This window comes from Homo sapiens, chromosome 15 (assembly GCF_000001405.40).
Source record: "Homo sapiens chromosome 15, GRCh38.p14 Primary Assembly".
Classification (NCBI taxonomy): Eukaryota; Metazoa; Chordata; class Mammalia; order Primates; family Hominidae; genus Homo; species Homo sapiens.
The window spans coordinates 27,857,651-27,885,377 of NC_000015.10; the positions used below are offsets into that span (position 1 = coordinate 27,857,651).

The window sequence follows — 27,727 nt, forward strand, 5'->3', positions numbered from 1 at the left end:
GTAAAAGAAAAAAAATAAATAAACAGAGCCCAAAGGACCTGTGGGACACCATCAAATCTACCAACATATGCATTATAGGATTTCCAGAAAGAGAAGATGGAGAGAAAGAGACAGGAAAAATATTTAATAGGCATTCAGCTAATAAAGATGTAATCTATGAAGGAAGTAAGGACTGAACTGTAAAGGAAGTAAGGACTAAATAGTCTGTATGCTATTGAAACTAATTTGGTATTATTCATGACAGGTTGTTATATATTTAGGATGTTAATTTAAATTTCCAAGGTAACCACTAAGAAAATAACTATTAAAATATACAGAAAATTAAAACAAGGTAATCAAAACTGTACACTACAAAAAAATCAACTAAATACAAAAAAAAAAGGCAGTAATGGAGAAACTGAGAAACAAAAAATCTAAGATATGCAGAAAAGAAATACATGGCAGAGTAATTACTTCTTTATCAGAAATTACACTAATTGTAAATGGATTAAACTCTCCTGTTCACCTGAGGTCAGGAGTTCAAGACCAGCCTGGCCAACATGGTGAAACCTCATCTCTACTAAAAATACAAAAATTAGCCAGGTGTGGTGGTGGGCACCTGTAATCCCAGCTACTCAGGCGGCTGAGGCAGAAGAATCACTTGAACCTGGGAGGCAGAGGTTGCAGTGAGCCGAGATCACACCACTGCACTCCAGCCTGGGGAATAGAGTGAAACTCTGCCTCCAAAAAGAAAGAAAGAAAAAAAAAAAAAAAAACAGAAATTGGCAGACTGGATAAGAAACAGGATACATCTTACACATTTTGTTAACAAGTGACTCTCTTTAGATACAAGGACACAAATAAGTTAAAAGTAAGAAAAAATATTTTACATGTAAATAGTAACCAAAATAGAACTGAGGTGGGTACATTATTGTCAGACAAAATAGAATTTAAATAAAAACAGGTTACAAAAGACAAAGAATAACATTATATATTTATAAATGATTCAATACAGAAGGAAGATACAACAATTATAAATATTTACACACCTAAAAATAGAACGTGGAAATATATGAAACAAAAATTGGCATAATTGAAGGAGAAATAGATATTTCTACTATAAAATTTGGAGACATAAAATATTCCCCAAGATAGACCACATGTAGGGCACAAAACAATTCTCAATAAATTTTAAAAGATTAAAATAATACATAGTATCTTTTCTAATTACAGTAGAATGAAACTAGAAATCAGTAACAGAAGGAAAAAGAGAAAATTTACAAATATTAAACAACCAATGAGTTAAAGAAGAAATTACAAGGAAAATCAGAAAACACCTAAGACAAAGAGAAATGAAGACACAACATACTAAAACTTGTGAAATTCAATGAAAGCAGTGCTAATAGGAACATTTACAGCTATAAATGCATATATTATAAAAGAAGAAATACCTCAAATAAATAACCTAACTTCACACCTTAAGAAACTATAAAAAGGCAAGCAAACTAAACCTAAAGCTAGTAGAATGAGGGAAATAAGATAGATTAGAAGAGAGATAAATAAGATGAAGAATAGAAAAAATAGAGAAAGTCAATAAAACCAAAAGCTGATTCCTTGAAAGGATCGACGATATTGTCAAAGTTTTATCTAGATTGACTAAGAAAAAGAGATAAAATACAAACGACTAAAATCAAAAACTAAAGTGGAAACATTATTACCAATCTTACAGAAATAAAAAGGATTATAAAAGAAAACTATAAACAATTACATGCCAACAAATTGTGTTAACTAAGTGAAATAAATAAATTTCTAGAAATACACAATCTACCAAAACTGACTCATGAAAAAATAGAATATTTGATTAGATCTGTAACTAGTAAGGACACTGAATCAGTAACCAAAAAATTCCCAACAAAGAAAAGTCTAGGACCACATGGCTTCACTGGTGCATTCTACCAAACATTTAAAGAAAAATTAATACCAACGTTCCAAAAACTGTTTCAAAAAATGAAGAAGAGGGAATACTTCCTAACTCATTCCATGAGGCCAGCATTACCCTGATACTAAGTCAGACAAAGCCACTACAAGAAAAGAAAACTACAGATCAATGTTCCTGATGAAATTGGGATGTAGTCTATACCAACGTTCTTACAGGAAGAAAGGAACGGAAGGAAGCCATTGCCTCCACAAACATGACATCGATGGAAAGACCCCAGGGCTTGGGAAAAAAGATGGCAGATAGCAGCACTCAGGAAACAAAATATAAAATAAAATAAAATAAAAAGTGGCAAAGGATAAAAAAGGTTTTCTGTGAGAAAAAGAAATGTGATGAAAGTTATAAAGGTGCTATTTTTTAAACAAGAATTCCAGGCTGATTTAGCACTTTAAACTGTATGAATGTATAATTTTATTTAAAAGCAAACATTGAACAACTAAGCAGCTCAAAAGAATAATGAATAAGTAAAATACACAGTATGCTTGGTGGTATTAAGTGTTATGGGGAAAAAAATAAAGCAAAAAGGGAGACAGGGAGGATGAGGTTGTCAATTTAGCACTGGGAAGGAGCAATTTTGCAAAACTCAATAAAAGGTGAAGGAGCAAGACCAAGCTCTAATGATCTGTGTGAATAGAATCTCAGACAGAAAGCATACAAAAGTGCAAAAGCCTTTATAATCAATTTATTTTAGAGTCAGGGGAGCACACCTGCAGGTTTGTTACATGGATATCTTGTGTGATGCTGGGATTTGGACTTCAAATGTTCCTGTCACCCAAGCAGTGAGCATAGTACCTGCTCGGTAGTTTTTCAACCCTCGTCCTCATCCCTCACTCCTCCCTTCTGAAAACGCCACTGTTTATTATTCCCTTCTTTGTGTCATATGTACCCAATATTTAGCTGCCACTTACAAGTGAGAACATGTAATATTTGGTTTTCTGTTTCTGTGTGAATTCGATTAGGATAATAACCACCAGGTCCATCCATGTTGCTGCAAGGAACATGATCTCATTGTTTTTATGACTGTGTGGTATTCCACAGTGTTTATGTACCACATTTTCTTTATTCAATCCACCACTGATGGGCATCTAGGTTGATTCCATGTTTTCGCTACTGTGAGTAGCATAGTGATGGACACGCAAGGGCACATGTCTTTTTGGTAGAATGATTCCATCTCCTTTGGGTATACACTCAGCAGTGGGATTGCTAGGTTGAAATCCAAGGAGGCCACTATGGCTGCAGTGAAGTCAGCAGAGAGAAGAGCAGTAAGAAGTAAGCTCAGGGAGGAAGCAGCAGCCAGGCCTAGGAGAGGTGCAAGCCATCGCCAAGACCTTGGGCTATACCAAAGCAGGGAGCCTCTGTGGACCACAGGCTCTCAGGAGCAGGGCAAGAGTGGAAACAAAAGGAAGAATTTGGAATGTATTTGGGAACAATACGTCTGAAGCTCCTTTTCCACTGTGTGACAGCAGGAGGGCATGTGGTCCTTGCTGGGGCCTCAGGGGACAGGAGTATAGATGGCAAGAATGGATCAGATTCAAAACCTTTGAGGGGCAGCTGGCCATGGGGTGTTAGAGAAGGTGAGGTGTTAGCTGGCTCTCAGCCTCAGGGGCTTGAGCAACTGAGAGAACGGAGTCACGATTTATGAGGGCAAGGAAGAGTGGGGAAAGATGGAATCAGGATTTCAGTTCGGGACACGTTAAGTCTGTAACACCTGCAGTGCCCCAGGAGAGAAATGGAGAGGCAGGTGGACAACCGGGGCTAGGCTCTGGGGAGCAGCCCAGGAGAGGTTGCTGTGGATGGCACTTGGAGTAAGTGTTCAGATGAGACCCCTGCAGCCGTGAGTCTAGAGAGTGGAGGTCAGAGCTGATTCCAGGGTTCTGGGCTTGGAAGATGGAGAGGGTCATGGAAGGAGGCGAGGAGAAGGAGCCCCGTGCAGGGAGGAGGAGTACCTGAAGGGCCAGGCGGGGAAAGATTCTGAGGGGTGGCCTCCATGTCATGTTGCTGACTGGCCAGGTTCCAAGGGGGTCTCTCTCGAGGGCGGGCACTAGTCCTTAGTGATCTTGGAGAGAACTATGTCCATGGATTATGGAAGAAAAACTCAATTGCAGTAAAGCCAAGAAAAAGTGAAGAAAGTTTCAGACTCCCTTTCGAAGTGTCTGGCTACAGGAAACTGAGGAAATAGGGGAGTGGCGGGAAGGCCTGGAGACACGGCAGCAAGTCTGGATCCGCCTGCGAATGATCAGCAGAGTGAAGAATAAATGATGCAGGGAGGACAGTGGCATGTGGTCCTGGGTGAAGGCACCGGTCTTCGTTGGGAGCCAGACATCCCCCCACACACCCGGAATGCAGCCAGGATGCACTGGGTGGCCACGGCGTCACGTGGAAAGTGCCCACATGGTTGCTTTTACGTCCTCACAGACAGAAAGCATGGTCATCAGCCTCAAGTCCTCATGGAGAGAAAGCATGGTCGTCAGCCTTGAGTCCTCACAGACAGAAAGCGTGATCGTCAGCCTCAAGTCCTCATGGACAGAAAGCGCGGTCGTCAGCCTCGAGTCCTCATGGACAGAAAGCATGGTCGTCAGCCTCGAGTCCTCACGGACAGAAAGCATGGTCGTCAGCCTCGAGTCCTCACGGACAGAAAGCGTGGTCGTCAGCCTCAAGTCCTCACAGAAAGCGTGGTCATCAGCCTCGAGTCCTCACGGACAGAAAGCATGGTCATCAGCCTCAAAGGAGGGGCAGTGCTGGAGGCCTGATGGGGCACAAGAGGCATGCACAGTGCACAGCACCCATACAAGGGGACATGCTGCCTGCCCAGCGCCAAAGAACTTTGAAAAAAAAGTAGACCTCCTCAGACATTTTTTTTTTTTTTTGAGATGGAGTTTCACTCTTTCGCCCAGACTGGAGTGAAGTGGTGCGATCTCGGCTCACTGCAACCTCCGCCCCCTGGGTTCAAGCCATTCCCCTGCCTCAGTCTCCTGAGTAGCTGGGATTACAGGTGTGTGCCACTATGCCCAGCTAATGTTTGTATTTTTAGTAGAGACAGGCTTTTACCATGTTGGCCAGGCTGGTACCGAACTCTTGATCTCAGGTGATCCACTTGCCTCAGCTTCCCAAAGTGCTAGGATTCCAGGCATGAGCCTCCGTACCCAGCCTCCTCAGACATTTTAAGTTCGTATGTCAAATTTGCCATTCCAATATACAATAGTCCCCAAGGACATAGTCTATATCAACATTCTTAAACAAAGGCATCCCGTCATTCTTTTAAATGTATACTTTCAAATTTAAATACCACAACATCATAATTCATCTAAATATACATCTGAAGCTCCTTTTCCGCTGTGTGACAGCTGGAAGGCACATGGTCCTCACTGCTTGACCTCTGGCCCAGGCAATGGGTCTGACTCAGGGGCCTGGGAAGCTGGCCGAGAAGGCACTAACCATCAGCGGGAGGCTGGCAGGGCTGACCTGACAGGTCAGGAAGGAGAGGCCCCCTGAGGCTGCAACTAACTGGGCAGGGGCAGAGGTGACCTAGGCAGATGGCAGGCACAGAGCAGCGGTGGGAGGAGGGCAGAGCTGCCTGGGGCATGGGTGAGGGATGCTGCAGTCGGCTCCTGGCTGTGTGGGACACAGCAGCCACCCAGCAGCAGTTCCGGGCGGATCCCCTGGTAAAGGTGTACAAGTGCCTCAGGTAAGCACAGGGAAGGCTGCACCCTCACTGGGATTCTGAGAGCTGAGATATGGATTGCCATGAGGCAGGGGAGAGCTATTTATAGCTGGCAGGGGCACAAGTCCTCCTGATGGGCCGGGCCTAGACCAGCACTTCTCCAATGCCAATGTGTGGAGTGGGTCACCCGGCACCTTGTCCAAATGCAGGCTCTGACTCAAGGGTCTGAGCATCTGAGACCCTGACCTGTTAGAAGTTCCCAGTGCTGTGATGCTGCCGGTGCCCAAGCCCCATCTGAGGGTAAAGGGCTGTGCTTTTTCAATACAATGCATTCCTTCTCCCCATTCTGGAACTGCTGTCATGGCCACGCTGGGTCCCCTGGGTCTCGCCTCCAAATCTCTCACCCTTTTTCACGACTCTGTTTCTCTTTGCTTTTGTTCTGTACCTGCACATATGTCTCTCACTTGGCTGCAAGCACAGCAACTCAGGCCTAACACTTTGCTCTTCTTCAATTCATTATTCAATATTTTTTGTTGAAAACATTATAGGTTTTAGTTCCAGAAACTATTTTTTGTGCTGTGCTTAAATCTCTGAGTGTCCTCATAATTTATCATTTGTTGTATTGTGTCGGTGGGACACAGTGGATAATCTTCTCTCACACTACTGGTCCCCTAAATGTGCCACTTGGATTTCACGGGGTGCCATGGAGCTGGGGTCTGGCGGTGTAGTGGCTGGTCTGTGGACCATGGAAGATGGGAGACCCTCACTTCTGGGCCGGCAGTGCCCCTCTGAGGCTGCTCCCCAACCACCCAGAGGGCATCCATTGTGCACCTGTCCGGGGCAGACTTGTAACCCACACAGCCCATCAGTACCAGGCTCAGCACCAAGCAAATGGGGGAAAATGGCATTTCTGTGCTCCTCCCATTTCTGTTTCTCTAACTCTAGCACCTCCTTAGCTTGCACAATGGCAGAGTTGGGATTCAAGCCCAGATCCACCTCCTGCAGAACCTGAGCTGCTAATAGTGCCAACTGCTCATGTTATTAAACCTAATTGCAATCCGCCAGGCTGGGTTTGATCCTCCACATAATTATGTTCCTGGATGTTTCAGGACAGGAGGAGTTAAAACAAAAATGAGATTAAGTTTTTTAAAAAATTGTAAAGCTAAAGCTCAAATGAAATGTTTTTGACTCTCACATCCTCTGAAAGAGTGCTCTCCTGTGCCAGGTGTGATAGCCCAGGATGTCTGTCCTGATACCTCCCGCAGGGCTATGGGATGGGGCGAGACTGCAAAGAAAGCCGGGGAAAGGAGATGCCTGAGAAACTGCCTTCCACCCAGAGGCTGGGTGACAGCATAGATAATGATGAGTGCCAACAAGTCAGTTGAAGGAAACCCACAGATTTATGTGCATAAATTACCAGCCTTTGAATTCAACATTCAGGACAAGAGTAATAATCTTTTAACTTGAAAGTTGCCTGAGGATTCTTCCTGTTCAAGCACATGAGGTTGAAAAGTTAAGGTTTAAATGGAGAAAGACTGTCAGGGAATTCTCAGTCATTATGCTGTTTCTCAGCGGTTCCAACTCGGTCTTTAGGGCCATGCAATGGAGCCCTAAGAACGCCACCCACAGAGGCCGCCTGCCCACCAAGAGGGCAAGAGGAAGGAAGAAGAGGCGGCGGGTGTGAAAGGGATTTCCCTGTATGGAAATATTGGTTAAACGTCTCCATGCCAAGAAAAGAAATAGGAAGAGAAATATCCTGAACAAATGTGAACAGAGTTCACCTGTTGCTCTCAGGCCATAGCTGACAACGCAAATGTAGCAGAAACAACCCCAAGCTGAAGACACGCTTGGAGAGATGACGCCATCGGAGAAGAGATGGGTTCTGTTTTGTCTCTTGAGACTCAATTCCCTGGAATACCACGCGAAGGCTGCTGAAATGCCCCACACAGCTCAGGCCCCCGCCAGCTCTCCCCACCTACACAGTGGCCTGCATTCATGTCACTGGAGGTGGCAACTGCACCTGCCCGCTCTCTGACCCTTTTTAAGGTTCTATTCATGTTAAAATCCCCAGTGAAGAGTGTCCTGTTGACCTGGCCAATGACGCCAGCCAGAGGTGTGTTTCTGCATCTGACAGAGGCTGGCGAGGAGGCAGGGAAGGCAGGCAGCTCTGCTGACTGGGCGGCGAGAGCCCAGGCACTGCACCCTGTGTTCATGCTGTGTCTGCAGCTGTGGGCAGGCACACCTGTCTCTCCTGATGCATTTTCATGAATGTTCTTTGGTCTTCTTGTCCATTCCCCACCTGAACACTGAGCAGGCCTCCCGAGTGGGTGCAGAGAGGACCAGTTACTCTAAGGGTGTTTGGTTAGCGCCAACCCTGAGGACCAAGAAGCCTGGCCAACTACAGAAGAAGCTCAGATGCCTGAATTCTGTAGATCTACATAAGCCAGGCCAGGGCACAAACGTTACAGAATGGCAAGGAGGCGGCACTGCCTTCTCTCTACATCAGCAGCAGGTGCAGAGGGACGCATGACTGCAAAGATCTCAGGCCTGAACTAGACCCGCGTTGCCACCCACATACTCTCCTCGTCACTCCCTGGGTTCAGAGGGCTCCACAGCTGTGCAGTGTAAAGGTCCTCCCAGTCAAAGGGGCCCCTCTGTAGGCAGGAAACCCAGATCACCTCCCAAAGAGCCATTCCTATCACTGCATCTGTCAGAAGCCAGAACCAGTGGGAGAAAACTGTAGACATGAGGATTTACTATGAATGAGTTGCCTTACATGACTGGGGGCCTGAGCAGGACACCCTACCTCCACCCAGAGGGCAGGCCATCGTACCCAGAGGCTGCCAGAGGGAAGGCAGATCCAGAGAAAGGACCAGCTCCCACCCAGGCAATGTAGAGGGCTATAGGTTGGTGTGGCTGGCTCCCAGTACAGGGAAGGAGGGAGTTGAGAGGGACAGCTGCCACCAGTGGCAAAGAACAGCACTGTCAAAGGCACAAGAGCCCCAGCGTCGTGCTGAAGAGGTGGCACCACATCACTGAAGATGAGGGTGTGTCTCGAGTGGCAGGTGGTCTGGCAGGAGGGAGGTGCACAGCTAGGGTCTGCGACTCTGAGACATGCAGCAAGCATGGGGTGTCCAGCTCCCTCAGTAACAGAGTAGCAGAGGATGGCAGGCCAGGGAGGAGGCAGACACAGAGTTATTCCAGGACAATTAATCTACTGCAGTTAGTTCACTTTCCTATTCATCTGCAAACACTTGCTAAATATCTTTTTGGTGCCAGGTATAACGCTAGTGAATGAGGCTACAAACACAAACGGCTGGAATTCCCAGACAGCTGCAGACACTCTTGACAATCCGCTTGTCCAGTGACTTGGTGGATGTAGGTGCACAGTACTGTGGGACCCAGAGGGCAAGCGAGGCTCTGCACCAGGAAGCACAGAAGCATCGAGGAGAAAGCGCTGAGGTAGGGATGGAGAAAGGCTTTGAAGCCTCCTCGGAGATCTGTTTTGTGAGTTCTGGGCCTCCAAGGCAGAAGCCAGAAACACACTTTTGCCACCTGCATTGCAGCTAGAACAGGCATGGGTTCCTCCAATCAGACACACCTGCTCCAGAGGCCAGTCTGGAGAATTTGGAGGAGAGGTGTGACAAGGCATACTCAAGAGCAGGCTGACAGAAGTCCCTGGACTCAGCAGCCAGCGTCGGGGCAGGGATCCTGAGCACTCAGGGCAAGCTGCAAAAGCTGGGGGCTTGTGGGCAGCCGCCCCCCATTCCCAGTGTGCAGTTGAGAAATTCTCAGAAATTCCAAGAACTATGTACTATCCCTAGATAAACTCCTTCTCATCTTAAACTAACTAAAATAGGTTCTGTTCACTGCAACTGTTGTTTGAAATGTTGATACCACTAGGTGCATTACAAACAGAATGATTTCCACTAAAGGACTAGGAATAAAATCAGTACCTTCAAAACCAGTTGATGGATGCGGAGGTATGATGTATCAATCTAAAGAAGTCAGGAAATGATGGTGAAAAAAAAGAATTAGCAAGGAAAAAGCATTAAAAAGTGAAATGATGGTACTTAGTTCAAGTCGATAAGTCATTACAATAAATGTAAACATGTTAAACTATTCTCTTAAAAGATAATCTGCTTTGAATTTTAAAAATCTACTTGCATGCTGCTTAAAAATGCAATTGGAAAAAGAATTTAAAATAAATAAATAAAGGACTAGAAAAAGATAAACCTGGCAGAGGCTCAGAGCAGAGATGGAGACCTCACACAAGGTAAAAGAAACCAGTCGCTGTGAAGTTACTAGATAATGAACTTTTAACACCTAATATGATCACAAAGTAAATAATGCAAAAACGTGCTGAAGTGCAAGGAGAAACAAACCAATTAACAAAGTTCTCTGCTGTATCAAAACAGATTGATTTAAAAGAGATAAGTGAATCTAGAGGATAACAACACAACGACATGCTTATGTATGTTAATGCTCACATTATATGAGCAATATATATGTATGTTAACTGCTCACAGACACTGAGAAAATTTGAACATTTCATCTCCTTTGCTGCAGGATTTCCTTTTTGCTTATTTTTTAAGGAACAAAATATTATAAATAAATGTGAAGCTCCTTTCCTCCCTCAGGCCCCAGGATTGTTTTCATCCTTCCCTCTCCTCAGGGAGCTGCCTTCATGAATTCAAGTCGTAACCACCTATGCAGCAGCCCACTGTGGGAGGAGCTGGGGCAGGATCCTGGCTCCTGTGTGTCAGCAGGGGCAGAAGCCAAACACGGAGTGACCGAAGCAGCCGCAGTGTGCAGAAGCTGACATGCAGCTTTTTAGGCGTGCAGCTGGAGAAAAACAGTCACATGGTAAGTCAGATGATGTTTTGGGGGTTTCTAAGCATTAAACCCTATAGACCATATCTTCTAACCACCTGCAGCGGAAATCAGGCTCTCGAAGAAGAAATAGCTGTACTCCCATTTTCACTGTAGCATTACTCAGAATAGCCAAGACATGGGAAAAACTTGCGTGTCCACTGATGGACATGTGGATAAAGAAAATGTGGTATATGAATATATATGCAATGAAAGGTGATTCGGACTTAAAAGAGCAGAAAATCCTGCCATTTGTGACAACATGGATGAACGCAGACGGCATTATGCTATGTGAGATAAGCGAGTTACAGAAGGAGCAACACCGCCTGATTCCATCGTGTGTGGAATCTAAAATCGTCACGCTCACGGAAGCAGAGAGTAGAATGGTGGCTGTCGGGGGTGGAGGGAGGGGGATGGGCAGAGGCTGCTCAATGGGTAGAGTTTCAGTTATCCCAGATGGGTACATTCCAGGGGCCGTGGTATGACACAGTGCCTAGCGTTAATATGGTATCATGCACTTCAAAGTGTACTAAGAGGTCAGATGGGTGTTAAGTGTTCTTACCATGAAGCACACATATATACACATAAGCACATGTATGGAGATGATGCATGCGTTCAGTACCTTGATTGTGGTGATATTATCACAGGTATACACATATATGTCCAAATTCATGAAAACTTATACATTCGATAGGTGCAGATTTTTGTCAATGACTTCAATACAGCTTTTTAAAAAATGTGGTGAAAAGACACTCAAAGGAAAAGAGGGGAGAAGGGAGTGAGGGAAAGTGGAGAGACCTCGACGCCCACCCACTTCGCAGATCCCTGCTCCAGGGAAGGGCCACATGTCCCCTTCCCACCCAAGGATTGTGACCATCGCTGCATGCCGCTTCCAGCCTGAGGCAGCAAACCCCAGTGGCTCCCCATGTCCCTCCCGTGATGTGGCCACTGCAGACACCTCATGCTAGCGTGGCACAGTCACTCCGGGGAGATGCATGGGCTTTGAAGAGCTGTGTGTCCACCTCTGCACCCTGTGGCTGCTGTGGTCATGCTGTATGTGGCTTCTGCCCCTGTGGACACACAAGAGCCAGCATCCCACCCTCAGCACCCCCACAGCGGCCACTGCAGAGATGGATGGGACCCACATTCATGAGGGCAGAGATGGTCCTGAGACTCCAGGGGAAGAACAGAGACCTGCCTGTTTATCTGTAATGTTGTATTTCTTGATAAAACACACAACAAATTCTGAGGCAAAGAGGATAAAATGTTGACACTTTCTCACTTTCTGTGGTGAACATATGGATATTTGTTGTACTATTGTCTCTGATTCCATTTTTTAAAGTTAAATTTTAGGTAGTCATAAAAATTTATGGAACAAAACTGTGAAAGTGTCCTATTCTCAGAAAAAGCAGCAACTTAAATCATCAATGCTAGGGCTCTTCTAATTCAGTCCCAGAAAGGATCTGGGTGCAAACCTCAGAGCCCCCCAGAGGTGGGGTTCAGCTGTGAGCGCAGGGTCAGAAGGAAGCACTGATGGAGGCTGTGTCGGGGTCCTGCGCTCGGTCCGCAACTGTGGCCTCATTGGCTGGGACAGCGCGGAGTCTCCTGTGGACTGTGTTTCCCTGGAGAACAGGATGAATGCACAGGATGAAGCTGAGGATTGGGTAAGGGCAGCCCTGCCAGAAGGCATCAGCCTGCCTGGGGCGCAGGGAGAGGTGGAGCCAGCTGGGCCACAGCCGGGACATTTGACAACAGCCGCAAGAGTTCTCCAATTTGGAACTTCACCAAAAAAATAACAGCCACCGAGTTAGTTCAGGATTACCACACCCAGGCCCTGGAAGGAGAGCAACAGCCAAGCAACTAGAGGGCCAACCTAGGCAGAAACTAAATTCCAGGCTGCAAGCGAGGGATGCAGGTTCCCAGATCCGCCTAAGGTCGGCGCTGCATGAGCCTGGCCTGCCCTTCTCCCCACACAGCCAGGCCTGCTGCTCCAGCCCGGGGGTGCCATTGTTCAGAATACTATACAGGGCGGTGGGATGTCTTGGGACCCCCTTGCATGGGATGTTCCCTGCGGGGAAGGGGGAGACCCTCAGAGTCAGAAGAACAGAGGGCTCTCCCCTGTCCTGTGTCCTGCCATGGGGAGTGCTCACCAGGCTTCTGGCCTGTGCCCTGCACACCTGGGACCTCAAGTATTTGTGAGAGGACCCCAGAGACTTGTGTGCAAGCCCCTGGGCCTATCTTTACTTTGCCACACCTGGATTCCCAGTTCCTGCCCTGAGCCAAGCAATCAGTGACGGCAGAAGTCACGCCAGGAACAGGCTCATCTGCCCAACTAAAGGTCTTCGATGTGTACTTCCAATCCTGGCTGGGGCTCAAGACCACACAGAGAATGAAAGATCTTGCCCAGGCCAAGCACTAGGAGACACACAGGCTGGTTAGAATAGCTTTTGCCTCCGCCGCAAATGAAGATGCAAGTCTCTATCTTTTGATGTCTCACAATTTTCGAAAGGAAGGAAGGAAGGAAAGAAGGAAGGAAGGAAAGAAGGAAGGAAGGAAGGAAGGAAAGAAGGAAGGAAGGGAGGGAGGGAGGGAGGGAAGGAAAGACAGAAAGGAAAGAAAGAAAGAAAGAAAAAGAAAGAAAGAAAGAAAGAAAGAGAGAGAGAAAGAAAGAAAGAGAAAGAAAGAGAGAAAGCAAGCAAGCAAGCACAGCCTTTTCTGGGAGGGGTGGCAGCTCTCAGTGGGGCTGACCTCGAGATCACCAGTCACCCCAGGACGTGCTGTCCACGGCAGCTGCAGAGCCTCGGCTCCCAGCCTGCAGTCTGGGCTCTCGGCACTCCCCACCCAGCTGCCCTGGGCTCTGCTCACTTTCGTCCTCTACACCTGTGAGTGCAGCAGAGGGGCAGGCTTCATCCTCTGCTGCCTTAGGAAGGGAGGGTGAGCCCCAGGCTATGTCCAGGCTAAAGTTGAGCCGTCGACATGGACATGTGCAACTCACCATGGTAGCAGTGAACGGGATGTTGTCAATCAGGGACGACGCCAGGGCTGAGACCCACACCACCAGGACAATGGCGGCTATGAGGCGCTGCTCCTCTGGGACCATCTGGAAGGAGGACAATAGCAGCTGCAGTGTTCCATCGCATGCACTTAGGGTCAGACCCACCAGCCGCGAGACTCAGAGGGGCCCGAGGGTGTTAGTCCTTCCTCTTACCCATCACGAGACCAAGGCAGACATAGGTGTGCAAGCCAGGGCCACACCCACACCAGGAGCCTCTGCTGGGTTTCTACCAGCAAAGCCCAGCCATGCCCAGACCTGCCAGCCCCCTGGATGGGGAGGCAGAGTGACCCTGCCCCTCATCCCCATGTGGTGGCTGCGCACACTGGTCACATTGACCTGATGGCCCGGCAGACCCCTGGGGCTGGGGCGCCTGCAGCACTCATTTACTGAGGCTGGTGTCAATCCCACTCCTTCTCAGACAGGCTTTAAATAAAGGCTAAAAGCAAAAGAGCAGGCATCTGTAATTACATATTCTTCGGAAAAAGTCTCCCTTCATCTCTGGGCTGCACAGGATAGAACAGGTTCCCTGCTGTGCCTTTTTACATAATTAATGGGACCTGTTCTTACCAGAGTGCTTTTTTTTTTTAATTTTTTTCACAAAATCAAAGAACAGTGGCTGGAGTGCCTTCTATTATAGCATTTATTTTACCTTTATTAGCAAAGCAGTTTGTTCTCCAACATATTCTATTAAGTGGAGATGTGCCAATGCCTAGAAGAAAGGATGTGTGGTGAGAATCAGTTTAGAACCGAAAATATATGCAAGATTTAAAAAAAAAGTCTTGAAAATGAAAAGACGTGAACATAAGGTAGGCCCAGATTCCTGCTTCTTATAAAAGATCAGACTCAAATACACAGTCTATAAATAATTTACTATCATATATGCACAACGAAGATTCATGGAGAAAAAGTCCAACAGCAGTGGCAGAAATCCCTCATTGATTTGAGTTAAGGTCCATGTTAAATTTAAATCCGAATGGAAGACTCTCTTTAAGACCTGTGTATAAAGATACTGTTCAATCGTACATAATGAAATACCACTCCATATAGATCTTTCAAGAAAGTCGCATTTCCAATTTCTTTTTAAAGTTAAACATCACAGAGTTTTAAAAGACATTTTTAATGCAGTTTTTGTAATCTTCAAAGAAAGAAAGGAAAAGTCTATTTAACTGGCACATGTAACTATTTTCACAGTACTAGGCAGATTCAGAAAACTGTACTCAGGGAAAGGCAGGAAAGAGTAGAAGAGAGAAGATGAGACGCAGGAGCCTTCTGCCCAGGTGGCCAAGGTCCCACACAGGGATGCCCAGAGGCTCACGACCGAGCCACTGTGAGAGGTCACCGGAAAGCAACAGGTGCCGGTGGCTCAGCTGCCCAGCACCTCTGTGGGTGTGGCCTTTTCACTGTGATTCCATCGCGCTGAAAGACTGCAAATATTGGAAACAGCAGCTTGTCTGCGCTTTTTTCTTTTAATTTTTTAATTTTTTTTTTTTTTTTGAGACAGAGTCTTGCTCTATTGCTCAGGCTGGAGTGCAGTGGCACGATCTCGGTTCACTGCAACCTCCACCTCCCGGGTTCAAGTGATTCTCCTGCCTCAGCCTCCCAAGTAGCTGGGATTACAGGTGCCCACAACCATGCCTGGCTAATTTTTGTATTTTTAGTAGAGATGGGGCTTCGCCATGTTGGCCAGGCTGGTCTCGAACTCGTGACCTCAGGTGATCTGCCTGCCTTGGCCTCCCAAAGTGCTGGGATTACAGGCGTGAGCCAACGTGCCGGCCAGCTTGTCCAAGTTTAAATTAAGCTTCAGAATCTCAATCTGCATGTACAGTTGTTAGCCGACTTTCATTTAAAAGCTATGGAGCCCAAATGTTGGGTCTTCAATCACGATTCTCCATCAAGTTTGCTTTTATATCAACTAAGTCATAAGGAGAATCTCTTTAGAGCAGGGTTTCTCACCCTCGCCCTGCTAACTTAGAGCCAGATCGTTCTTGGCTGTGGGGCTGGCCCGTGCATTATAAAATGTTGCGTAGCAGCCCTGGCCTGGTGCCACTAGATGCCAGTGGCACCTCACCAACACCAGTGTGACAGCCAAAGATGTCTCCAGACACAGCCACTGTCCTCTGGGGGAGTAAAATCACCCCCTGTTAAGAACCAATGTTCCCAGGGGGGATAAAATCACCCACTGTTAAAGAACGAATAATTTATCATAATCCAAATTTTATTAAATAACACTTTAAAATTGAAAAAATATTGAATGTAGCTATACCTTTTATTTTGTTTGATATCATCAGTTGAAAGAAAAATCAGAGGCCTAAACCAGATTAAAATGTTCTGCCAAATACCAAATAGAGATGGTTGTGTGTGTATATGCCCCCCACATGCACACAGAGTATGGTGTGCACCTCTTGATGTGTACCTATAGACATTTATATTTACATATTTAGTGTCATATAATTATCCTAAATATCATGCTCTGCGTTATGTAATGTAAGACAAAATAAAGTAAAATCTTCAAAAAACTTGAATATTGCACCTAATAACTCAGCTCAAAATAAATGATCTCTTAATTTAAAAAAAATCAAAATATGAAGAAAATACAAATACACTCTTTTACAAAATAAAGTAATTATCTAGCACATCCCTATCTATCAAGCCTAACACTGTAGGTATATAATGTGTATTTTACAGTATGTGAAGTTTATGTACAGTTGAAGATTATACATATTACTTGTCTCCTTCATCAGCTTATACAGTGAAAAGATGATTGTGTGGTATAAATCAGGATGTGAAACATCATTAGTCTGTCACAGAAATGCTGATTCAGCAATGACCTGACATCCTTGTCCCACTGAAATAAGCCAATACAATAAATCATTGCTACCACTTATTTCAAAATGATAAACTAGGAGGTCTAAGAGTCCCTTCTTCAGCCAAACAAATGGACCCTAGATAAAACATACTTTTTAACACATTCTAGATTAGCAAGACAAGGTATGGTTTTCCAAGGAATCTCTCTCCCCACGAAAACATTTCCTGCAGCTGTCTAGGAGCGGCAAGACTTGAGTGGCACAGGATGGAACTGCCTGGAACCTCGAGGCTGATCAAGCACTGAAGTCAGAGGAGGTGTGAACACCTGTGAGGGTTGTAGGCTCCACTGTTTCTCACATTGAGCCAAGATCCTTGAAATGCACTAAAATTATTCCCTGGCATCCAGAAGAAGCAGACACAGCAGTTTCTGGAGGAAAGCATCCCGCCTGCAGGCCCTCAGGAATCCCACAGAATACGATGAAGTGATGAGATTATAGTCTTGCATCTCCAGGGACACAAGAAGACAAGCAGCATGAATGAGAGCAGAAACAACCAAAACAGATTTAGCCAGACCCCAAAACCGCATGGATGAGAATTCATAGATACTGAATGTAAAAGAGGAATTTTGCTTAAAGAAATTAGGGGTTGAAGAGTTTAAAAGTACCAATTAACATGGGCCCTTAATGAGTTAAGAATGAAGGCTATCATCTCCAGATGACATTAAACCACTAAAAATACTAAAAGAGTGAGTATATAACTGCCAGGAAAGGGGAAATAGAATTTTAAATAATTCTCAATCAAATCAAATAGTCAAAAATTGACTAGTCAAGAAAACTAAGGTAATAAATCATAATAGAAATTTAAAATAATTTTGAATAAATAAAATGTAAATGCAATCAAAATGCACATGAAAACTTGAGGGATGCAGCTACAGGGAAATTTATAGTCTTAAATATACACAATGGGAAATATGAAGCATGAAAATCAAAAGCTAAGTATCCATCTTTGTAAGTTAAGAAAATGACAAATTGAACCCAAAGAAGTGAAGAGAAAATGATAATTTTAAGTAGAAAGTGGGAAAGAGAGTCACCAAAAACAACAACGAAAAAGAGATCATCACTATAAAGATACTACAATAAACAGATAATGGAGTAAAACTACAAATCAACTCTAGCATTCTTTTGGTTTTATACAGATATCCAGTTGATTCACCACCATTTGTTGAAAAAATGTTTTCTTTCCTAAATAAATTGCTTTGCCACTGTGGTTTAAAATCAGTTGTATATTTAAATAACACATAACACATCGACAGAGTCTATTTCTGGACTCTCTCTTCTGTTCCCTTAATCTATATCTATCTTTTGCCAGGACCACAGTCTTGATTACTATAACTTTGTAGTAGGTCAGGAAATCAGGTAAGTGCTCCAAAAGTTGTCCTTTTGGGGAAAAAAATGCTTTAGTTATTTGAATTTAGTCCTTTGAATGTCTACATAAATTGTGTAATTAGCTTGTCATTCTCTGCAGAAAAACCTAGTTCAATTTTTATTACAATTGCACTTAAATCTGTAAGTCAATGTGGGAAGAACTGCACACTAAACAACACTGAGTCTTCTTATCTATGGACAGACTATATCTCTTCATTAGATCTTTAGATCTTTTACAAAAATTTCTTTTCAAAATATCTCGGTAATTTTTGGTATAGGAATCTTGAGCATACTTTTTTTTTAAGGTTTATTCCTAGGTTTCTTAGGGTTTTGGTATCATTATAAATGCAATTGTTCCTTAAATATTTTCCAATTATGCGCTAGAATATGAGAATATATTGATTTTTGGATACTGATCTTGTATCTTCTGACCTTGCTAAATTTATATATTAGTGCTGGTAGTACTGGATTTTTTGTAGACCACTTGAGATTTTCTACATAAACAATCATATAGCCTACAAACAAGAACAGTTTTACTTCTCTCATTTTCATTTTTCTGTGCTTTATTTCTTTATATTGTCATATTACAAGAACTAGGCCCTTCAGTACATTGACTGTTGAACGGAAAAGGTGACTGCCTTGCTGCCAGTCTCATGGAAAAATAATTAAGTTTTTCGCCATGAAGTATAAGGTTGGCTCTAGGTTTTTCAAAAATGCCTTTCATCAGTTTGAGAATTCATGGTTTGCTCTCTAATGCTTTTTCTGCATTTATTGAAATGATCATATGGTTTTTCTCCTGCAATCTGTTAATATGGAAAATTATACTAATTATTGAATGTTAAATCAACCTTGGATTTCTGGAATAAACTTTTTTTGGTTATGCTGTACTATTTTATATACCATAGCATTTGATTTGATATCTTGTTTGGATCTATGTGAGTGGGAGATGGTGATCTGTAATTTTCTTTTCACATAATACGTTTGTCTTAATATCAGGGTAATACTAGACCTACAAAATAAGTGGGGAACTGTCCTCCACCTCCATTATTTTCTGAAAGAGATTTATAGGATTGGTATTATTTCTTACTCAATGTTTGAGAAAATTAAACAGGGAAGCCATTTGTGTTTGGACTTTTCCTTCTGTAAATAATTTTAATTACTAATTCAGCTGCTTTATTGATATAACTCTATTTTGATTTTCTATTAAAACGAGTCTATTTTGGTAAGTTGTATTTTTTAAGGAACTATTCCATTTCATGTAGGTTGTTGACTGTGTTGGTATAAATTTGTTAATAGATTCTCTTATTTTTTTTAATTCCTGTAGGGTTTGTGTTTGGTCACCTCTCTTTTCTTGATGATATTGGTGATGTGTGTTCAATTGTTTCTTTTCAAAGAACCAGCTTTTTGGCTTAGTAGGTTTTTTTCTGCTTTGTCTGTTTCCTACTTTGTTGATTCTGATCTTATGGTTATTAGTTTCTTCTTCCTATGTATTTTAGTTTTACTTTCCATTCCAGCTTCTTAGAGTAGAACATTAGATTAGATAATTTTAGATCTTTCTTATTTTCTGTTGTATTTCATCTACAAGTTTCCCTCTAAGCTAACTTTAGGTGCACTCAAAAATTTTTTATATATTTTCATCAACATTTTGCTTTGTAATATTATCTTATTCCCTTGTGATTTCATTTTTGACTCATGATTTAACTAGAAGTGTATCATTGACTTTCCAGACATTGAGGTTTTCCTAGACTGCTATTGATTTCTAACTTAAATTTGTTGTGGTCAGAGTATATAATCCTTATGATGTAATATTATAATCTTGGTGAATTGACCGTGCACGCATGACAAGATTGAATTCTGTGGTTGTTGGATATAGTGTTCTACAAATGTCAATTGAATCAACGTGGTTGATAATGTTATTCATAGCTTCTATGGCTTTCCTGATTTTTTTTTGTCTAGGTGTTCTATCAATTTCTGAAGAGTGATAAAATCTTCTTCTATGATTGTGGAATTGTCTATTTTGTTTTACTTTAGTGAATCAATTGCATCTTGAGTATTTACCAGGGACATTTATAATTGTTATATCTTCCTTATAATCTGTCCCATTTATTATTATTAAATGTCCCTCATTATTTCCAATTACATTATGTGCACTGAAGTTTATTCTATGCCACTTTGGCCTTTTATGCTTATTACCTGCATGCTATGTATTTTTCCATTCATTTACTTTCAACATATCTCTATGCTTAATTTAAAAGCATGTCCCATATCATTGCTCAGCCTTTCAGCTAAGATCAAGGGTAAAAGTATGTCTCTTAAGAGCAGCATATATTAGAGCCTTACTTCCTTATCTGCTTTCTCAATATTTTCCTGTTAATGGGAATGTTTGCAGTTAACACAATTATTGATATAGCTGCATTCAGGTCAACAAAATTATTTATTTTCTGTTTGTCTCTTTTTTTATTCATTTCTGTGCCCATTTTTTGCTTTCCTTTGGGTTACTTGAATATTGTATTTTCATCAGTTGGCTTTTAATAATATTATTATTAAGTATTAAATATTAATATTTTAATTAATTTTTAATTATATTTTAGTACTTACTCCGTGAATTAAAATATACATACATAACTTCTCTACAAAGTTTTATTGCATCAAGTGAAATATACAAGCCTTGAAATGATATAGGTCACTTTACCTCTCCCCTTTCCTCTTATGGTATAGTTGTCATACATATTACATCTATATACATTAAAACTCCCACCAGACAATATTATAATTTATACTTTCAACCATCAAACCTATTTTGAAGAACGTAAGAGGGAAAAACGTTATCTTTTACACTTACCTACTATTTACCATTTCTGCTGTTCTTCATCCCTAAAGATCTAATTTCTCTGTAGTATCATTTTGCTTCATCCTGCAGAAATTCCATTAACATGTCTTATAGAGCAGGTCTGCTGGAAATGAATTCCAGTCATTTCCTCCATCTGAGAATGTCTCTCTTTTTTGCTTTTATTCCTGAAGGATTATTTTGCTGGATAGAGAATTCTGGCTTAAAAGTTCTTTTCTTTCAGCACTTAAAGAAGGTGCTCCACTATCTACTTGCCTCCAGGATTTCTGATCAGAAATTTGCAGTCATTCAAATCATAGTCCCTTGCATGTAATGTATCACTCTTCTCTCACTGTTTTTGAGACATTTTCCTTATTTTTAGTTTTCAGCACTATGATTATGATGTGTCTAGGCATGTTTTCCTTTATTTCATCCTGTGTTTTCACTGAATTTTGTGAAATTGTAAATGTGTCTTTGCAAAGATTGACAATTCTGTCATTACCTCTTCAAATATCTTTTTCTCTTAATCTCTTGCTCCTCTGAAACTATAATTGTTTTTAATATTTCAAAATATTTATTCTTTTTTAAATTTTATTTTAAGTCCCGGGACACATGTGCAGGAAGTATAGGTTTATTACATAGGTAAATGTGTGCCATGGTAGTTTGCTGCACCTATCAACTCATCACGTAGGTATTAAGCCCCACATGCATTAGCTATTTATCTGATGTTCTCCCTCCCCCTTTTCCCCCTTGACAGGATCCAGTGTGGGTTGTTCCCCTCCCTCTATCCATTGTTCTCTTCGTTCGGCTCCCACTTATAAATGAGAACATGCAGAGCTTGGTTTTCTGTTCCTGTGCTAACTTGCCGAGGATAACAGCTTCCAGCTCCATCATGTCCCTTAAAAGGACATGACCTTGTTCCTTTTTATGGCTGCAGAGTATTGCATGTTGTATATGTACCACATTTTCTTTATCCAGGCTATCATTGTAGGGCATTTGGGATGATTCCATGTCTTTGCTATTGTGAATAGTGCTGCAGTGAACATATAAGTGCATGTATCTTTATAGCAGAATGATTTATATTCCTTTGGGTATATACCCAGCAATGGAATTGCTGGGTCAAATGGTATTTTGGGCCCTAGGTCTCTGAGGAATCACCACACTGTCTTCCACAATCGTTGAACTAATTTAGATTTACACCAACAGTGTAAAAGCATTCCTATTTCTCCATAGCCTCACCAGCATCTGTTGTTTCTTGACTTTTAAATAATTGCCATTCTGACTGATGTGTGATCTCATTGTGGTTTTGCTTTGCATTTCTTTAACGATTAGTGATGTTGAGATTTTTTTCTTAAGTTTGTTGGTTGCATAAATGTCTTCTTTTGAGAAGTGTCTGTTCATGTCCTTTGCCCAATTTTTAATGTGGTTGTTGGTTTTTTTATTGTAAATTTGTTTAAGTTCCTTGTAGATTCTGGATATTAGACCTTTGTCAGATAGATAGAGTGCAAAAATTTTCTCCCATTCTGTAGGTTGTCTGCTCATTCTGATGTTAGTTTCTTTTGCTGTGCAGAAGTTCTTTAGTTTAATTAGATCCCATTCGTCAATTTTTGCTTTTGTTGCAATTGCTTTTTACATTTTTGTCATGAAATCTATGTTTGTGCCTATGTCCTGAATGGTATTGCCTAGATTTTCTTCTAGGATTTGTAAAATTTTGGGTTTTATATTTAAGTCTTTAATCCATCTTGAGTTAATTTTTGTATAAGGTGTAAGGAAAGGGTTCAGTTTCAATTTTCTGCATGTGGCTGGCCAGTTTTCCCAGCACCATTTATTAAATAGGGAATCCTATCCCCATTGCTTGTTTTTGTCAGGTTTGCTGAAGATCAGATGGTTGTAGATGTGCGGTCTTATTTCTGAGATCTCTATTCTGTTCCATTGGTCTATGTGTCTGTTTTTGTGCCAGTACCATGCTGTTTTGGTTACTGTAGCCTGGTGGTATAGTTTGAAATTGGGCGGCATGATGCTGCCAGCTTTGTTCTTTTTGCTTAGGATTATCTTGGCTATATGCACTCGTTTTTGATTCCATTTTAATTTTAAAGTAGTTTTTTTTCCAATTCTGTGAAGAATGTCAATGGTAGTTTAATGGGAATAGCATTGAATCTATAAATTACTTTGGACAGTATGGCCATTTTCACAATATTGATTCTTCTTCCTATCCATGAACATGGTATGTTTTTCCATTTCTTTGTGTCCTCTTTGTTTTCCTTGAGCAGTGAATTTGTAGTTCTCCTTAAAGAAGTCCTTCACTTCCCTTGTTAGCTGTATTCCTAGGTTTTTTATTCTCTTTGTAGCAATTGTGAATGGGAGTTCACTTATGATTTCACTCTCTGCTTGTGTATTGTTGGTGTATAGGAATGCCTGTGATTCTTGCACATTGTTTTTGTATCCTGAGACTTTGCTGAAGTTGTTTATCAGCTAAAGGAGCTTTTGGACTGAGAGGATGGGGTTTTCTAGACATAGGATCATGTCATCTGCAAACAGAGACAGTTTGACTTCCTCTCTTCCTATTTGAATACACCTTTCTTTCTCTTGCCTGATTGCCCTGGCCAGAACTTCCAATACTATGTTGAATAGGAGTGGTGAGAGAGTGCATCCTTGTCTTATGTCAGTTTTCAATGGGAATGCTTCCAGCTTTTGCCCCTTGTCTAGTATGATACTGGCTGTGGGTTTGTCATAAATGATTCTTATTATTTTGAGGTACAGTTCCATCAATACCTAGTTTATTGAGAGTTTTTAACATGAAAGGACGTTGAATTTTATCAAAGGCCTTTTTTGTGTCTATTGAGATAATCATGTGGTTTTTATCTTTAGTTCTATTTATGTGATGGATTACATTTATTGATTTGAGTAGGTTGAACCAGCCTTTCACCTGAAGGACGAAGCCGACTTGATCGTGGTGGATAAGCTTTTTGATGTGCTGCTGGATTCAATTTGCCTGTATTTTATTGAGGATTTTTGCATCAGTTTTCATCAGGGATATTGGCCTGAAGTTTTCTTTTTTTGTTGTTGTAACTCTGCCAGGTTTTGGTATCAGGATGATGCTGGCCTCATAAAATTAGTTAGGGAGAAGTCCCTCCTTTTCAATTGTTTGGAATTGTTTCAGAAGAAATGGTACCAGCTCCTCTTTGTACCTCTGGTAGAATTCAGCTATAAATCCTCTTATCCTGGGCTTTTTATTATGGGTAGGCTGTTAAATATTCATTACTGCCTCAATTTCAGAACTTGCTATTGGTCTATTCAGGGATTCAACTTCTTCCAGGTTCAGTCCTGGGAGGGTGTATGTGTCCAGGAATTTATCCATTTCTTCTAGATTTTCTAGTTTATTTGCATAGAGATGTTTATAGTATTCTCTGATGGTTGTTTGTATTTCTGTGGGGTCAGTGGTGATATCCTCTTTATCATTTTTTTATTGTGTCTATTTGATTCTTCTCTCTTTTCTTCTTTACTAGTCTAGTTAGCAGTCTACCTGTCCTATTGATTCTTTCAAAATACCAACTCCTAGATTCATTGATTATTTGAAGGGCTTTTCATGTCTCTAGCTCCTTCGGCTTCACTCTGATCTTGGTTATTTATTGTCTTCTGCTAGCTTTAGGGTTTGTTTGCTCTTGGTTCTCTAGTTATTTTAGTTGTGATCTTAGGGTGTCGATATGACATCTTTCTAGCTTTCTGATGTGGGCATTTGGTGCTGTAAATTCCCCTCTTACCACTGCTTTAGCTGCATCCCAGAGGTTTTCTTTGTTCTCTTTGGTTTCAAAGAACTTCTTGATTTCTGCCTTGATTTCATTATTTACCCAGGAGTCATTCAGGAGAAGGTTGTTCAATTTCCATGTAGTTGTGTGGTTTTGAGTGAGTTTCTTATTCTTCAGTGAAACTCCAATTTTTGGTCGTGTTCCACAGCTGCATGAGCTCTGGCAATGTAAAAAAATTTTCTCTAAGTTCTTTAGATTGGATAATTTACACTGATCTATTTCAGTTCACTAACTCTTTGCTCTGTCATAGTCACTCCACTACTGAACCCATCAAGCAACTCTTTTTTATTTAAGGTGTTGTAGTTTCATTTCTAACCTTTGTATTAGATTTTCTGGTAAATTCCTATTCTCCCCTGAGAACTCCCAACCTTTCATTCATTTCAAGTGCATTTTCTTTACCTCATTGATCATAGTTATAAAAGCTACTTTAAATTCTTTGGTCATTTCAATATCTGGGTCCTCTTAGGTTTGCTATCTGTTGACTGTCATTTTCCCTTGGAAATTTATTACATTTTTTTCTTATTCTTTGTACATCGAGTCCTTTGGTACTGTCTCCTGGATACTGTCAATGTTAAAATATGTAAACTCTGGATTCTGTTTTAATCTTCTGGAGATTATTATTTTTTTTTACTTATAAACTAATTGGCTTCTGACCACAATTTCTGTCACACTTTCTAAGGGAAGTGGTTCAAATTCAAATTTCCTGTGATCATATTGGCCTGTATCACACGTGTATCATCCAGTAGCCAGCCACATGCTTGTGCAGATGGTTCAAATCTCAGTTCGGTTCTCTAAGCCTTGCCATCTTGCTTCATGCCTGTCTAGCACATACACCATTCAAGAGTTAGTCAGATACCTGTATGGATGGTTCTAACCTCAGCCAGTCATCAGTCAGTCCTCTGGGCCTTTGCTGGGCTGGTTTGAGTCTGTCCCCAGATGGTGTTGTTCTGAAATTAGGCTGAGGCTAGTGCAAGTTCATGAACAGAACTGGGGGGCTTCTTTGGCTCTCTCTTCTGGTTTTCCCCCACACTCCCTGGCCTGCAGGTGCTGCTCTCTCTGACTCCTCTGGGCCAAAAGATGGGGTTGCTACAGGATTACTAGCTACCTATGCCACCATGCCACTACATGATGAAGACTGGCTCTAGGGAGAAATCCAGGAGAGAAGAAAACAGGAAAACCACCCCGAGAGGGTCCCTTCTCCAGGTTTTAACATTCTCCACAATCTACCTGTTTATATTTTTCAGAGTCCATATGTAGTTGATTTTTGTCCAGTTTTCATTGTAATCAGAGGGAGGCGTGAGCTTTAGTAGGTTTACACGCCCTTAGCAGATTGGAATTCAACATTCTCTCTCATTATGACACCCGGTTAAAACACTCTTTTCTTGCCAATATCTAAAATTTTAAAATAAATTAAGTCGGCTACTGTTCCTGTGTCCAATCCTCCCCAACTGACCACCTAGAGTCCTGGGACCTCACGCCCCCTGCGGATCCCTCATCAGGGCGAGGGAGATCAACGAGCATCACACAACTCTGGATAAGGAGGAAAGGGCGCAGGGCTGCCTGCCTTCAGCCGGCATTTGAGAACCTGAACAGTCTCCATGACCATCAGGTGTACCATGGCAGAGGTACAAGCAGGCTGATATATCTCAGAAGTCAGGTAGACAGTCCCTGGGATCTCTGGGCTTCCTTTTATTGGATGCCCTGCAGCCTGCGTTTCTGTGCTGATGCTTCTGCTCATGATGTCCTGTCTCATTTTAAAATCATCTTCATCAAAATCTGACCTGAGCAAAAAGAAAAATCTGATTTTTTTGAACCTCTAAAATATATTGAAAGTTCTTACATGTTTAACAGCTGACATATTTAGCAATTTTCACAAGCATTTCAAATATATTATAATTGAATTATTTTAAATGAACTTGACTTATTATCTTTGGAGAATGTCAGAGCAAGGTTAGAAAGACTATCAAAATTAGTAAAAACTCATTATAAATCATCGTTACTGCAAACATTTAAAAATAAAAATGTGCCAGGCGTGGTGACTCACACTTGTAATCCCAGCACTTTGGGAAGCCAAGGTGGGCAGATCACTTGAGCTCAGGAGTTCAAGACCAGCCTGGTCAATGTGGCGAAACCTGTCTCTACAAAAAATAAAATTAACCAGACATGGTGGCGCAAGCCTGTAGTCCCAGCTCCAGAGGCTGAGGTGGGATGACTACTTGGGCCCGGGGAGTAGAGGTTGCAGTGAACCGAAATCGCACCACTGCACTCCAGCCTCAGTGACAGGGTGAGACCCTGTTTCAAAATAAATAAATAAGTAAAAATAAAAATGAAAATGCCTGTATGTCAATTTTCCTCCAAAATTATGCATGCATCTTCCCAGTAAACTTACTAATGATTCTGTTTGCAAGGCAGCACTTCCTTAAAGACTCAGATACAAGATAAAGTAAGTTAAATGACCCTCATGTTTATATGCCTGGCAGAAAAGCTAGGTGACCACTCTCGTTCTAAAAATAAACTTCTTGTTATGTTGTTCATTCACATTGGAATCAGAGATCCATTTAAAATCATCTGTAATTTAAAAACTAATCCTATTTTTGTATTCCATGAAAAAGAGATATTAGAAGTGACTTGAATCATTATTGAAAAGCACTAAATAAAGGGAAGAAAATAAAATTTATTTTGGGGGGATTTTGATAGTGATACGTATTTTTTTGTTTAGTTTCATTTCTGTGTTCTCATTTGTTTAGTTTTACTGCTAAGGGAGTATTTTCTCTTTCTGCTGTTTATTTCCCCAAAGGCAAGAAGAATGAGTTATTGTGTCGGTGAACTTAGAGACTGCACAGATCGGTGGCCACTCTGCCTCTGTGGGGTAGAGCACATGAGGACAACCGTGCCCTTCACCAGCATTCCTATGATGAAGCTTTACAGTGAATGAACTTTCTTTCACTCTTTTACATTATGTCATTTCTCAGATCTTAACATTTCTCAAGACAGTTAAGAATATAAAAGCTACATGACTTATGTTATAAGCCCTATAGTTTATGAGGAAAGGTAACTAATATTGAAAAATAACATACACCAGAAATGACAGTTAGCCAGGAAGAACTTGGAAGGCAGCAGGGAAGCCTGATTTAGGATTTGGCAAGAGTTATCAACTATTAACATGAAATTATTATATGCAACCTATAAATTAGAGCCTTTATCCTGCCTATTATCAGCACTATTCTTACTTTCAATGACAGAGTCTTGGCATGGCTAAAGATGTCCCACTGGCAGAGACACAAATAAATCCAGACCCATGG

The 27,727-nt window shown here is 41.9% G+C and overlaps 1 protein-coding gene across 28 annotated transcripts in view, besides 1 other annotated feature; it reads right to left on the bottom strand.

Annotated features, from left to right (window-relative positions):
• Positions 1-27,727, bottom strand: part of OCA2 (OCA2 melanosomal transmembrane protein) — a 380,308-nt gene that overhangs the window by 138,643 nt on the left and 213,938 nt on the right. For 13 of the 28 annotated variants that reach the window (XM_047432609.1, XM_047432606.1, XM_017022258.2 and 10 more), the window contains 2 exons: positions 14,213-14,272; positions 13,504-13,608 (listed from right to left, as the gene is read on the bottom strand). The exons of 8 other annotated variants lie outside the window; for them this stretch is intronic. In XM_047432609.1, coding sequence (XP_047288565.1) covers positions 13,504-13,608; positions 14,213-14,272 — 165 coding nt within the window. Of the gene's footprint in view, positions 1-9,592; positions 9,635-13,503; positions 13,609-14,212; positions 14,273-27,727 lie in introns of all 28 variants that reach the window. 7 more of the 28 variants (XM_047432608.1, XM_047432605.1, XM_011521640.3 and 4 more) reach the window with 1 other exon arrangement.
• Positions 13,130-13,630: an enhancer, noted in NCBI's record as "H3K4me1 hESC enhancer chr15:28115926-28116426 (GRCh37/hg19 assembly coordinates)". NCBI's record gives its function as "activates a minimal SCP1, AML or CMV promoter by ChIP-STARR-seq in naive H9 embryonic stem cells {active_cell/tissue: H9 hESC(naive)}" and the evidence as "EXISTENCE:reporter gene assay evidence [ECO:0000049][PMID:30033119]".